Here is a 15,676-nt window from a genome sequence, read left to right as displayed (position 1 = left end):
CAGAAAGGACTCTCAGGCTTCATATGAATGCTGACGCTGATACCATATACCCAATACACTCAGATTTTGAAGTCCTAAAAACTATGAGTGGATACTACATATTAGTACTGGCAAAAATTAGAGTTAAGTTTAGCAAGAAAACCAATGTACACAGATGTTAATTGTTAGGAAAACTTACAAGAGAATACTTACTAATGACTGTCTGTGGGCTGGGTGCAGTGGCTCATGCCTGTAATGCCAGCACTTTGGGAGGCCGAGGCAGGCGGATCACCTGAGGTCAGGAGTTCGAGACCAGCCTGGCCAACAGGGCGAAACCCCGTCTCTACTAAAAATACAAAAATTAGCTGGGCGTGGTGGCGGGTGCCTGTAATCCCAGCTACTCGGGATGCTGAGGCAAGAGAATCACTTGAACCTGGGAGGTGGAGGTTACAGTAAGCTGTGATCACGCCACTGCACTCCAGCCTGGGTGACAGGAGCGAAACTCCGTGTCAAAAAAGAAAAAAAAGAAATCTAGTATGAAGACAGAGTAATAAACAGAATGAAATAGTCCTAAGGCTATTCAAAGTCATAAAGAATAGGCAAAACTATTTTCTCACCTTAAATATCACACAAACAGGCTTAAGAGTTTGCCTATCAGATGTAACTTGGCATTTACATTGCTAATAGTGCTTTTTCAAAGAGTGCTCACACTTTCAGTTCCTTTTGAATGATAATACCTGGATCTCCTACCTACCCTAGGACTCAGACATACTAATAATGTCAAGCTGCAGATAAGCATTTTCATGTTCAGAGCAGAAATTTTTTGAGGGAGGTATTTGTTTTTGTGGGAAGGCATTGTATAGGAAGGTTCGTTCTGCTTTGTTCTAGTTTTTACTCGATACTCCATAAACAGTGAGTGCAAATAAAATTTATCCCTCATGAAAAGACATATATCACAAGACAAAAACCAATGGAAATGAAAAATTCCTAAAAGAGCTGTTTTCAGTACACACTAGAAAAAAGGATCCTCACTTCTTTGTGGTATTAAATTATTTGTCTTCATATAGTTTTCAACTCAAAACTAGTCGTCCAAAGACCCTTTGGAAAAATGAAACTATAAAAGGCAATGGATTACTCGACCACAAGTAAATCCCTACAATTTTAAAATGACAGTCTACTTCAGTGCAATCGTTTAGACAATAAAGATTTAAAGGAAAAGAGAGGCAATAAAACACTTCACAAATCAAAAAAATTGCTTCCAGGATACAAAAAGATTTCCCTACACGAGGTCTAGCCTTGAAATTGCAGTAAGAAAAACATTTCTGAAGTAATAAACTGAAGATACAGACTTAATGTTAACTTCCAAACTATTCTTTATTTATCTTTTTACATTCTTTTTTTTTTTTTTTTTTTTTTTTCAGAGACAGGATCTTACCCTATTGCCCAGGCTGGAGTAGAGAGGCATGATCACAGTAGCTCACTGCAGCTTTTGACTCCTGGGTTCGGGCAATCCTCTCACCTCCGCCACCTGAGTAGCTAGGATTATAGGCACGCACCACGACACCCAGCTAATTTTTTTATCTTCTTGTAGAGACAGGGTCTCGCTACATTACCCAGGCTGGTCTGGAACTCCTGGCCTCAAGTGATCCTCTTGCCTCAGCCTCCTAAAGCACTGGGATAACAGGAGTGAGCCATCGTGCCCAGCCCAATTTCATGTAATTTTTATTATGGCTTAAAACTGAAAGGGTAGCCAGGTGTGGTGGCTCACGCCTGTAATCCCAGCAGTTTGGGAGGCCGAGGTGGGCAGATCACCTGAGGTCAGGAGTTCAAGACCAGCCTGACCAATATGAGAAACCCCATCTCTACTAAAAAAATACAAAATTAGCCAGGCGTGGTGGCGCATGCCTGTAATCCCACCTACTTGGGAGGCTGAGGCAGGAAAACCGATTGAACCTGGGAGGCGGAGGTTGTGGTGAGCTGAGATCACGCTATTGCACTCCAGGCTGGGCAACAAGAGCAAAACCCTGTCTCAAAAAAAAAAAAATATCTGAAAGGTATTAAAGGGTGTCCTTGTCCCTCAGTTTGTCTCAAGGTAAATTAAGGCTACCATTTTCTTGTGAATCCATCCACAAATGTTGTATGCATACATAAGCAACATATAAATATTTCTGTATTTTCTCCTTTCTCCTCAAACGGCAGCAAAACACATATACTGTTCTACATCTTGTGGAGTTTTACTTTTTTCCCCATTTAATATCTACATCATCCTCTATCAGTATTTTCCTTATTCTTTTTTAATAACTACATGCTACTCCATCTTCGATGGACAAATTTTTATTTAACCAGTCTTCTATAATGAACATTTAGCTTGTTTCCAGTGTTTTGCTACTATAAATGATGCCTCAATAAAACTTGGCCATTCTTCATTTCAGTTTGGCATAAGATAAAAATCTGGATGTTAAATTGTTGGGTCAAATAGGTCTGTGCATTTATAAATCTGATGGATTCTATAAAATTATCCTCCATAAAGACTGTCCTAATTTACATTCCCACACAAAATTCAAGTACCTATCTCCCCATTCAGGCTAACAATTTGCTAAATTTTTATTTTCATCAATGTAATAGGTTTTTAAAAAATGGCATCTGGTGTAGTTTTAATTTTCATTTCTCTTATAAATCAAGTGAGCACCTCACCTTCTCATCATGTACATTTATCTCTCATTTCTATGAATCTCCATATTTGTTCTTTGTCCATTTTTCTACTGAATTGTTAGTCTTTTTATTGGTTTGTTGACATTTTTCATACATCAAGGAAATTTGTCTATCTTTGTGGAGCTGTAAACATTTTTCAAACTTGTCTTTTGACTTTGTGGGGTTTTTTTTTTTTTGAGACGAAGTCTCGCTCTGTCGCCAGGCTGGAGTGCAGTGGTGTGATCTTGGCTCACTGCAACCTCTGCTTCACAGGTTCAAGAGATTCTCCTGCCTCAGTCTCCTGAGTAGCTGGGATTACAGGTACATGCCGCCACGCCCGGCTAATTTTTTGTTTTTAGTAGAGACGGGGTTTCACCATGATGGCCAGGCTGGTCTCCGATCTCCTGACCTCGTGATCCGCCAGCCTCAGCCTCCCAAAGTGGCTTGCGGTAGTTTTAAGTATGCAAAATCTTTTATTTTTTATACAATCTAACTTATGAATCTTGTTTTTTTTATTGTTTCAGGGTTTTATGTCAAGAAAAAAAAAACTTTCATTCTAAACTATACAAGTTTTCTCCCCTGCTTAGTTCTATTTCTTTTGTGACTTTGCCTTTTAAAGTTTGATCCATTTAAATTTCATTCTGGTGGAGGTATAAATTATAGATCCAACTTTATTTTTTTCCAGATGGCTACCCAGTTATCCCAACACCCTTTGAATAAATTCCCTCACTGATTTAAAATGCTACTTTTATCATGTTCTGTGTGTTCTGCAGTCTCCAGGTTCCTGTCTTCATATTTTATTTCACTGATCTAGATCTATACATGTGCCTTCATCACACAGTTTTAATTATTGTAGCTTACTATCCTTTAATATCTTTTTTTTTTAAACATTACATTTACTAAGATTCTGGCAATAAGACACAGCATACCAGGCTTGCCACTCAACTTGTTATTGTAAGTCTCAGCTTCAATATGAAGCCTTTTTTTTTTTTAATCAAAACCCTGCTTTTTACATGCTAAATATCTTGGCAAGTAGGCCATTAAACATAGTAATGAACTTAAGACAGCAAGAGTGAGGAGTTAACAAAAGCTAAACATTGCAGCCTAAACAAAATTCATACAAAAAAATAAACTATCACTAGTTACATAAAATTTTCCTGACTGGTTAAAACTTAGTATAAAACATGCATTTTAGAATCTTTAGCTATCAAGTTCAAAAAGTACCAATGTCTATTTAAAATAATTCCTCTCCCAAGCCAAAGTGTAGTCAAAATTAATTCAAATGACATAACACATTCTAATGCTAAAAAATATTCATTATTACTGAAGTGGAGGTAAATCCCAGAGCTTTTGGGGCTTTCTCATGCTGCAAATGGCTGTTTCTCTGGTTCACTCAAAGCAGCATATGACAGCATCCAAAGATGACACTAAGCTCAGTAAAGGGCAAGACTGCTGGTAGCCAGCTCTGACCTCCCCGTGAAGCATGGCTACTGTGTCCATAATACAGATGTGTGAGGATCAAAGGCACACTATTCTGCTAGCTAAAGAGATAGCAAACCACCCCCCAACCCTAAAAGCTCCTTCCCCAGGTAAATAAAAGTATACGAGGGGAAAAAATTAAAATACACTTATCTACAGAGTAAGGGTTTTGAAATATTAATGTAATCCCTCCTTCAAAAATTCTAACTAGAGTCATCTGGTCATTTCTGATTACATCTTAAAGATGTATCCAGATTCAATTTCTGTTGGTTTATCCTTAGACGCTTCTAGTCAAAAGTATTAATTTTATTCCCAAATATCTTAACCACTAGTACGACTGCAGTGTATTATCTCCCAGAGTTATCAAGCACTGGAAGAGAAAAAAATAGATGTTCAAGCAGCAGGCAACATTTATGGCCCTTTCACACAGTGGCATCTGAGTGGCTACTGAATAGTCCAGGAATAATTCTAAAAACAAGAAAATTCATGCATTTTAGTAAATATGTTGTAGTTTTCACAGTTGAAATTTCCTCAGACATTGCACTTTCTTTATAAGGGAATCCTGATTTTTCTTAATGTTACGGTGAGTCAGGACTTGAACTAGCAGCCTTCTTTTTCTTCTTCTTACTGTGTTTCTTATGCTTCTTTTTCTTTTTTGTTTTTTCTGTTGCTTTTTCTCGTTCTTCACTGCTTTTCTTCTTTTTTGCTTGCACCTCCTCAATATACTCTGATTCTGACAAGGACTCAGATGATAAAGGTTTATCTTCAGAATACATCTTTCTCTTTTTGCTGAGTCCTTTAATATCCTTTTCTTTCTCAGTTCCATCTTTTGACTTCTTTTTCTTTTTTAAACTATCCTTACTGTCTGATTCAGTTTCTGACATGGAGCTTTCAGAAGATTTATGTGAACGGTTCTTCTTTTTCTTTCTCTGTTTTCCTTGTTTCTTATCCTCATCTTCAGAATCAGAAGAACTGCTGGAAGAATCAGAGCTTGATGAAGAAGAAGATGAATACCTACCAGATTTCTTCTTTTCTTTTTTCTTTCTCTGTCTTTTTTTGGATGAGCTCTCACTTCCACTTAACAATTTCTCTCTGTGTTTTTCCAGTTCTTTCTTCCAGTTCTCATTCATTTTTTCTTCAAATTCAGCCAAAGCCTTGGAGCCTTTCTTTTCCTTTTCTAGTTGCTCTTTTACTTCTTCCCAGGTAGGCCTTGGTCGATTCAGATAATCCTGTATTGTTGGCCCTGAAGACTGGATTGGACCCCTTGATCTCGCCATTGCTATTGGGTTCATATAGGCCACCCGATTGTCCCGCTTCCCCATGGTGCTGGATCGCGCGCACAGTAGCACACCGAGGGAAACCGGGCCGGAGAGACTTACCCTTTAATATCTTATAGACTTGGTCCCACCTCTCATTACTCTTCTTTTTCATAGTGTTCCTATTATTGTATGCTCATTTCTATATTAATTTTAGCCTTAGTTTGTCAAGCCAAAAAAAAATTCCTGTTGGCATTTTCACTGGAGTTACTTCCAATTTACAGACAAATTTAGGGAGCTTATTTACCTTTAAGAAACAACCCTGCCGGGCGCGGTAGCTCACGCCTGTAATCCCAACACTTTGGGAGGCCGAGGCGGGCGGATCATGAGGTCAGGAGATTGAGACCATCCTGGCTAACACAGTGAAACCCCGTCTCTACTAAAAAATACAAAAAAATCAGCCGGGCGTGGTGGCGAGCGCCTGTAGTCCCAGCTACTCGGGAGGCTGAGGCAGGAGAATGGCGTGAACCCGGGAGGCGGAGCTTGCAGTAAGCCGAGATCGGGCCACTGCACTCCAGCCTGGGCGACAGAGCGAGACTCCATCTCAAAAAATAAAATAAATAAAATAAAATAAAAAGCTGGCAATTTTGCTCCACCAAGTACAAATGATGTGATTCATGGCTCAACTAGAGCATTCATATTTCATTAGTATGGGTCCAATCACAAGATGATGGTCTTCCTCACAGGCAATAATGGTATTTGGCATTAACCTCCCTCCTACAGACAGAAGGGCTATATGAAAAATGTATGAACGCCAAAAGTACTGTTAAAATAGCAGATTCCCTGAGTTTATCCATAAATTAAATATAAATAAGAAACAATTCTATGGCGGCCATATGTTTTCTTAAAATGGAAGCTAAAGACACAGGCATAAAGAATTTAAAAAGACCTCTACAGATGATCCGGAAAAATCTTTTCTTTTGAACATATCACCCCTAACATAATGGTTTATTTTATGGACTGTTTTCTAATTTTCCATTCAAAGGACATTCCAAATTAGAAAATCATGTCCATTCTACTCCAACATTCCTACAGAATTATTACCACATGTATAGTATCTTTTATCAAGTAGATGAAAGCAAAAGGCAAGATAGAAACAAAAAGTAAAGAGAAACAATATTTTACATTAATGTTTTACAGTTCATAAACACTAACAAAAACTATCTCATTTGACACATATGCATAAAGTGAGCTAATTATGAATATACATTAAAATGAAGAATAATTTTACAAGCAATATTTTTAAACTTTCATTTCTACTACATCCTATAATTTTAATGCTAAAAATCTTAGATATCAAAAAAAAGTTCTCTGTTGACGAGTGGGGGGGAGTAAGATATGATATTAAAGAAGTAGGTGGGGCCAGATGATGAAGGGCCTTGTAGACAACAGTAAGAATTTTAGACTTTGGCCTTAAGAATGGTGAAAAATCAGTAAGATTTTAAGCAAGAAAAGATTATGATCATTAGATGATTTTTAAAGATCATTTGGTAACAATGTAGAAGATAGTTTATTTGCACAGTGACAAGGGTGGAAATAGAGAAAATAAGTTACTGCAATGAACCAGACGTGATTATTAGACTTAGGGTACCAGTGGTAGCAGCAGTATGATGAAGAAAGGATTCATTTAAGAAATACTGAGTACCGGGGAGGCGGAGCTTGCAGTGAGCCGAGATCGCGCCACTGCACTCCAGCCTGGGCGACAGAGCGAGACTCCGTCTCAAAAAAAAAAAAAAAAAAAAAAAGAAATACTGAGTAGAAGAAATTTTAGTAGTCAAAATGTTCTAATATTCCCCCTCCAAAAAAAGACCCAGTGGTGACTGACACATTCTAGCAAAGCTTCAATAAATCAGTACTTAAATGTAAATAGAGCCAGGTGCAGTGGCTCATGCCTGTAATCCCAAGCACTTTGGAAGGCCAAGGTGGGAGGACTGCTTGGGCCCAGGAGTTCAAAACCAGCCTGGGCAACATACTAAGACCCCACTCTATAAGGTATTTTTTAAAATTTTTTAAACGTAAATGAATAAAAAGAGTTCTGGAAGTATGCAACCAAACTGATAATAGTGGTTAGTTCTGGAGAAAGGAAGTGAAAATTATGGGTAACAAAGAGGTAATATTTTTATTTTTATAAGAATATATTCATGTATGACTTGTATAATTTATAATTTTTTAAGAAATGTTCCTACAAATTAAACACAAAAAATCTTAATTCATATCTAAATTAAATAACTAAATGAAAAAAAGAAATATTGAAGAGGTAAAAATGATAAGACGCTGCTAATTTTCTGACTTGAACAACTCAGAAATGATATAAATGATGGTGTCATTTACAGAACTAGGAAACTAATAGAGAAAAGCAGGTTTGAAAGGAAAATAGTTAAGTCTGAGGCACAAGTGTAACAAATAAATAAAGATGTCCTATGAATAGGTGGACTACAGGAGTCTGGAGCTCAGGAGAAGTGAACACTTGAACCTGGTACATAGTGGTTTGAGAGTATAGGAGAGTAGGAAAAGGGTCCAAAAAGCGGGAAGAGGAAGGTGGCTTAACTAAGACTGGAGTTACCAAAGAGGTAAGAGAAAAACCAACAGATCTTGATTTACCAAAGTCCAGTAAAGACTGTTATGAGAAAGAGTGGTCAGCTGTGTTCAGTGCTACTGAGTTGTCAAATAAGATGAAGAATGAAGAGCCCACTGAATTTAGCAACACTGGCATCTTTAGCAGGTTCAGTGGAGTGCTGGGGCAGACCAAAGTTAAAAGAATGAAGTACAAGGTGAAGAAATAAAGTGAATGTGATCACTCTTTGAAGAAATTTGGATATGAAAAAAAAAAAATAGGGCAGAGGGTAAGAATGGGGTAGAAAGGCTCAGTGTCAAAGGAGGGCTTTTTTTTTAAGGTGGAAGAGATTTCTCCACATTTAAATGGCATTTATGCGCAATGGTAGAAAGGGAAACGAATGATTATTTCTTTTCAATAATGCCCCAAAATTAATATAGGAAACAAACTGGAATGCTGCTCATTTCTGTAGTATGACAGTGAGAAATCTCAGCCATCAGTAAATGGAATTTATTCACTCCGAAAGATAATAAATCAACAAAAAAAAAAAATCTCTTCTGTAGACATTAAAGATCTGCTTACATTTAAATCATAGGGAACTTTTAGAACATTCACATCAAAATGGAAAGTGGAATTTAAAGTTCATGTGCTTAATGTCCAATCTGTAAATTCTAAAATATACTTTATCAAAATATTCAGGTGAGGGAGGATAATAATACAATAGGTCAACTTTCTCTGATTCTTCCACAGATTAAAGGTTTCACAGATGCCTTGAAAGGAAACTGATGAGTACATGAATAGCTTAGTTATTTACACCCCTTGAGGCACATACACAGCACACCTAATGGTTCTGCCCTGAGGCAAAAGACTTAACAGATTGCCCTCCTAATTGCTCCCTGGACGCCTGGTACACAAAGCCACGTGATCCCGAGGTACAGATTCCTATATAAAACTCACCTTTAGGAAAAAAAATCAAAAGATAAATATCTTGCCAACTACTTCTAAACAAATAAAACTCTCTTACAATACCCAAAACCTAACAAATCACCACGCCATGCACTAGCTAATATGCCTAATAAAATTCTGACGTGCTTCTCTTTAAAATAAAAGCAATTTAGGTAAAGAAATTAGCCAATTATTTAAACATCATTACCCAATAAACTTTTGAACATCTAGTTTTACTATAAATGCAGTGCCAATTTTATAATTTCAAAGTGAGAAATTTCATTTCTAAGGAATGCCTGTTACATCTTCATAATAAGTGTAGATAGTTGATAAAGTCATCAATTTTAAGAGTTTGAAATATAAAACAAAATCTAGGTGGAGTAAGGAGGTAAAAGAACTTTCTAAACTTGAAGAAATTCAGAACTGGCGACTAAACATCTAAAAAGGCAAGGGATTTTTCTAAGTTTAGAAAAAAAATAATAGAAAGAAATTGAATTCCTAAAAATAAAAAATATTCCACTCCTCTGTCCCCAGGACATATTCCCCACCCTGGGGCAGAGCCCAGGTGCAGACCTGACAGTTTGTCCCCAGAGCTCGTGCTGTCCACCACTATGGCCCTCCACAACCTTTACCAACTGATGAAAAAGAGGACAGGAGTAAAGTTCACAAACTAGGAGACGCAATGAATACGCAAACATATGGGAAAATACTTAACTTTGTGAGTAACTTTAAATTTTCACATTAAAACAACAGGTAACTTGTAGGGGTTCTTTAGTTTTTTATTTTGCTGTTAATTGGCAAAAAAAAAATTGTAAAACTATGCTAATATCCATTGCTGGCAATTGGTGTGTGAAACTGGTAGGCAATTTAGCAATACATAGAAAGTGCCATAAAAACATCCAACATGCCCTTTGGCCCACCATTTCCTCTTCTGGAAGTCTATATTAAAGGCGAAAGAAAATACGGGCAGAGTGAAGGGCAGTGCTTACTCCACATGCACAAAGACACTCCATCTGAGCCTCATGCATAAAATGAAAACTTGGAAACAAATTTAAATGTCCAAAATAAGACAATGGTCAAATAAAATATAAATCCACTGAATTATTTATGTTTACACATAACTTGTATATAACAGAAAAATGCTTATCATACAATGTCAAACCAAAAAGAGCTAGATATAAAAATGTACAAATAATGAAAACCTGCATTTAATGCATAGGAAATACAAGGAGGAAAAACACTAAAATAGTGACTATGGTTGGTTAACACAATGGTATAGAATGACTTTTCCCATTTCCCAGTATCTTGCACATGTTTCAAAATGTGGTTTCATTGCTTCTATTATTTTTATACAGCTTTTAAATAATGGGAGGGGAGGATTTCATAGGGTATTTGCAAATTTAAAATAGAATACAAATCTGAGTGTTCTTTGAAACTTTTTCAAAAATCAAAAATAACAGTGCAATGATAAGGATGTTTCATAATTTGTTCGATGTAGTTCAAGTTCTTTTGTACAGAGGATGCAAAAGAAAAAATGGTTATGATCTCACTTAGGGTCTTAGAAGTTATCTCAGAAGTTATTTAATTCTAAATACAATTGGAAAGCCATTTGAGTTTTAAGTTGGAATGTTCCATAATCTGATTTATGCTATAGCCTCTGTTTTGTAGTTTGTTTTTTGGTAAAATCTGACATCTCAGATGTCCAGTGAAATATCTGTGGGAAGAGGAAGAACCATTTACACCACTTAACTCTTGATCTAAAAAACTAACATCATTAGATAAAAAAATCATTTTTAGTAATATTGCAAATCTTAACATCTCCCCTACTAGACTGACAGTTTCTGAGGTATGGCAGGGATGCATTTTATTTTCGCATGGTGGGTGGTTCTCACGTAAGTATACAGAGCTGTGCTTGAGGAGGTATACAAGGGGAAAAACTAATGCCCCGTCAGTCAGGATCATCATAAACCACCACTCAAGTAAGCAGACATAAATAGGGCTGTCCACTTTCAAATAAATCTTTCTAAGATAGTAAAGTATTTCTGAGAGAAGAGGTGGGTACCCAAAGCACCAAACCAAAACAGTCCAGGCAAGCCCCCAGGTCATCTAAGCCTGAGCCCTGGAATACTCAACTGTAGCCAACCATAAAGTATACATTACTACAATGGATTCTGAGAATTTGGCCTTTTGGTTAGTGGTGGTTAACACAGAATGCTCTTTTATTGGGACATGTCGAAAGAATGTATTTGAGTTTGATCCAATGACCAAATTACATAGTTAATTCTGTAATATAGTAACTTGGCTTTCACTGACCTATGCTCAAAGATCATTTTGATTGAAATAAATGTTATATAAGATAAATTCTCTAATAGGGACTGAGGCATTTTAGTTAACCAAGGCTGCTACATTTGCTATTAAAGTCACTGGGTCTTCAGGTCTTAGAACAATATAGTAGGAAGAAGCTTATAATCTATATCCAGTGCCCAATGAAGTGATGTACAACACACTAAAAGCACCAATGAATATGTGTGTAAACACTCTATAGTTTAAAAAGGACATCACATACAAAATATTATTTGGTAACTAAAATGTATCTAGACCTTTCTTTGTATCTTTCAACATGCTCCCTTCACACATTATATGCCACTTCATATTCAAAGAAGCCTTTTTAGTTAAGCAAGGCAGGTATTATCACCCCATCATAGGTGTGGTAAGTGGTAAGCTTAAGTGAGCTACAGAAGTTCATACAGCTGCTAGATGTCAAAGCAGAAACTACACTTCCAAGGTGAAGGACATTCTCATTTGCTTCTCCTCCCCTTACCAGATCTCCATCAGAGAGCTGACTGACTTGCTTCTTGTGCAAGCAATGTGATCAAAATAAAATTATCTGATGACATCCCAGATATATGTCCTTTCTTGATAGCTGGCCAGCAGTAAGAGTTGTTTCATCTACTAACACCCCATAATAGAAAATCCATAGATTTTTACCCAAAAGGCAAACTGATAATTTAAAAGGTAAGCCTCCTACTGAGCCAAAGCCCAAACGTTATTTTAAAAGAATTTATTTAAAAATTCAAGGGCTAACATAAGGGAAAACCAAAGGCAGACTGCTCAGAGGTTTTTCTCTCTTGTTTTCTACTGTTTACATCAAGCAAGACATTTCAATTATCTAGAATAACTATGCCAATTATTTTGCATAGTCATTTGGCAGTAGTCCTAAAATAAGTCCTAACTTATTACACCAATTAATATGAATACTTTTAAATTATTTCAACTGAGTAAAATGTTTCTAAATTTTAAAATATCTATCTTAAGTGTGGAGAATTATTGGTTTATCTACTATGAATTACTAATAATTATGTTTTATATAAAATACAGCAGCTAACATGTTTTGAGTTCTTTATCATGTGCTGGGCACTGGGCTATTTAAACATGAAATCTCACTGAATCCTCACAACAATCCTACCGTGTAGGTAGAAACTTTTGGTTTTTGAGACAGGTGCTTTCTCTGTCACCCAGGCTGGAGTACAGTGGCATTATCACTGCTTACTACAGTCTCGACCTTTTGGCATCAAGTGATCCCCCTGCCTCAGCCTCCCAAGTAGCTGGGACTACAGGTATGTGCCACCACACCTGGCTAATTATTTTTTTAATTTTTTGTAGAGATGGAGGCCTCCCTATGTTACAGAGGCTGGTCTCAAACTCCTGTTCTCAAGTTATACGTCTCATCTTGGCCTCCCAAAATGTTGGGATTACAGGTGTGAGCCACTATGCCCAGCCACAAACAACTTTTAAATGTACTTCATAAATGTGGAAACAGAGGCACTAAACATTAGTTAACCAATCAGAAGGTAAGAAAACTGGGATCTGAAGGTAAAAAGTCTAGCCACTATACTATATGGCCTCTGTGATCTACCTGTTCTCTTGTATGGCTTTGAGATAATGGAGAAAGCATAGACTCCAGACTCTGACTACCTGTGTTCAAATCCTAGCTCCTGTGCTTGTAGATGCAATCTTGAGAAAGCTAGAGAAAATGTTCTTGCACTTCTCAACAACAAAAGGCACGTAAGGACCTGGGTAAAGTGGCTCATGCCTGTAAATCAGGACTCTGGAAGGCCAAGGCAGGAGGATGGATCACTTGAGGTCAGGAGTTCAAGACCAATAGAGTGATACCCCATCTCTAAAAAACCTTTGTTTAAATGAAATAGCCAAGCATGGTGGTACATGCCTGTAATCTCAGGAGGCTGAGTTGGGAGGATCACTTGAACCCAGGAGTACAAGGCTGCAGTGAGCTATAACTGCACCACTGTACCTAGCCTGGGCTACAGAATGAAACCCTGTCCCAATTAAAAAAAAAGAAAAAGAAAAAAGGCACTTAAGGCCTGATGTAAGCATTTCTACACTGCAGAATTGTTATGAAGAGAAAACGTAATGCCTAGAAAACAGTGACTGGCTCACGCTTAGGGATCAAAACTCTCAGCTGTAACACAGTGAATCCTCAGGGGATGGTGAGGTGTCTGGGGCTATGGCTCCACACCAAATGGCCTCAAACTGCTCTTGTTGAATTCTTAAGTCTTCTTTCTTTTTAAAGGTTTTACTTCCTCATGCTATCACTTAATCAAGCTGACACTGTCTGGGGATGTGCCTGTATATAAGGCATTGCCTTCTGTGCCTTTTTTTTTTTTTTTTTTGAGACAGCAGATCGCTCTGTCACCCAAGCTGGAGTACAGTGGCAAGATTATGGCTCATGCAGCCTCGACCTCCTGGGTTCCAGCAATACTCTCACCTCAGCCCCCCAAGTAGCTGGGACTACAGGTGTGCGCCATCACGTCTGGTTAATTTTTGTATTTTTGTGGAGATGGGGTTTCACCATGTTGCTCAAGCTAGTCTCAAGCTCCTGGCTCAAGCCATCTGCCGCCTCAGCCTCCAAAGTGCTGAGATTACAGGCATGAGCCACCACACCCAGCATGTGCCTCTTTCAAATACATTATCAACTAGAAAGCTAAACTAGAAAGCTAAATACACTACAAACTAGAAGGCTAAACTTTCTAAAACAATTTCTAAGTAGGAATATCAAATTCTAAGAGAAGATTCTGGGTCTTTCCAATTAGCTAAGAGAAAAACTTCAGTGTGTGGACATTGTAACATCTAGTTTTGTCTTTTTAGAGTTTGAGTTGCTTATTCACCTTCTTTGTGAGGTTTGAAGAATGCTGAGGATACCACACATTTCAGACCTACACATAAACTTGGTCTTGCTGGAGCACACTAAAACGTGGCACGGCCACTATCCCATCCAATCAAATATACAGGACAAAGAGAGGCAAAGTGGGTACAGGTTGGTATATTAGATTGCTCAAAAAATGCATAAAAACATATGCAACCTTTTCTGGCTAAGAGTTAAAAGAAATTAAAAATGACACTTAGGCTGGGTGTGGTGGTTCACGCTTGTAATCCCAGCACTTTGAGAGGCCAAGGCGGGCAGATCGCTGAGAGCCCAGGAGTTCAAAACCAGACTGGGCAACATGGTGAAACCCACTCTCCATTAAAAATACAAAAATTAGCTAGGCATGGTGCCCGGCGCCTGTAGTCCCAGCTACTGGTGGGAGGATCACTTGAGCCTGGGAGGTGGAGGTTGCAGTGAGCCAAAATCACTGCCAGCCTGGGTGACAGAATGAGACCATCTTAAAAAAAAAGACACCTGATAGACGATACATTTGGAGGTTTAAGGTGCTTTACAGAAGAGGAACTAAGGTATTGGGCAGATGTGCCCATTTTAGACACATTTACCAAACTTACTGCCAAATATGGTGGTCTGACAGAACTTTTCAGTACACTATGCCAACCTAATGCTATTTGCACACACTCTCTAGTAAGTCAGCAAAGGGAATTGACTCCATCTTTCAGTGATGAGCCCATTAGACAAACCTAAGTACTGAAAACCGCTAAGTGGTAGAAGAGAACATAATCACACTGTTTACTGTGAGACAAAGTCTTCAATGGATTAAAATAAAAGCACACAAGGGAGGGTGAAATGGAAGGATCATACAAAATATATCTGAGATACCTCAAAAATAAAAGAGCTGTCAAATCGGAAACAAAGTTTAGAATGTTCCATTCTTATTACAGCAACTATATCAAGGACTGCTATATTTCTGTGTCACACCATAGAAACTGCCATTCCCAAACATTTTTCAAAATTCAAGGTGTCAGCCATTCCCTATCCAAGAAGCTGATTGATAAAATATATATATATAATTTTTTTTTTTTGAGACAGAGTCCCGCTCTGTCGCCCAGGCTGGAGTGCAGTGGTGCAATCTCAGCTCACTGCAACCTCTGCCTCCTGGGTTCAACTGATTCTCCTGCCTCAGCCTCCCAAACAGCTGGGACTACAAGCACCTGCCACCACATCTGGCTAATTTTTGTATTTTTAGTAGAGACGGGGTTTCACCGTGTTGGCCAGGCTGTTCTCGAACTCCTGACCTCAGGTGATCCGCCAGCCTCGATCTCCCCTCCCAAAATCCTGGGATTATAAGCGTGGGCCACTGTGCCTGGCATGTGTCACATTTCAAAAAGGCTATGAACCATAATAGGGCAGGGGTCAGCAAACTTTTTCTGTAAAGAGCCAGATAGTAAATATCTTAGGCTTTGAAGGCCAAAGTTTCTGTCATAACTACTCAACTCTGCCATTAGACCATGAAATTAGTCATTGACA

At 38.0% G+C, this 15,676-nt stretch overlaps 1 protein-coding gene and 1 pseudogene across 1 annotated transcript in view; both read right to left on the bottom strand.

The window, feature by feature from the left end:
- Positions 1-15,676, bottom strand: part of ZSWIM6 (zinc finger SWIM-type containing 6) — a 213,915-nt gene that overhangs the window by 165,590 nt on the left and 32,649 nt on the right. The gene's annotated exons all lie outside the window — the stretch shown is intronic.
- On the bottom strand, positions 3,551-5,525 carry LOC100421561 (family with sequence similarity 133 member B pseudogene; annotated as a pseudogene).

Source organism: Homo sapiens, chromosome 5 (genome assembly GCF_000001405.40).
Source record: "Homo sapiens chromosome 5, GRCh38.p14 Primary Assembly".
NCBI lineage: Eukaryota > Metazoa > Chordata > Mammalia > Primates > Hominidae > Homo > Homo sapiens.
The sequence above is the reverse complement of the archived record's forward strand: the minus strand, read 5'-3'. Positions and strand labels throughout refer to the sequence as shown.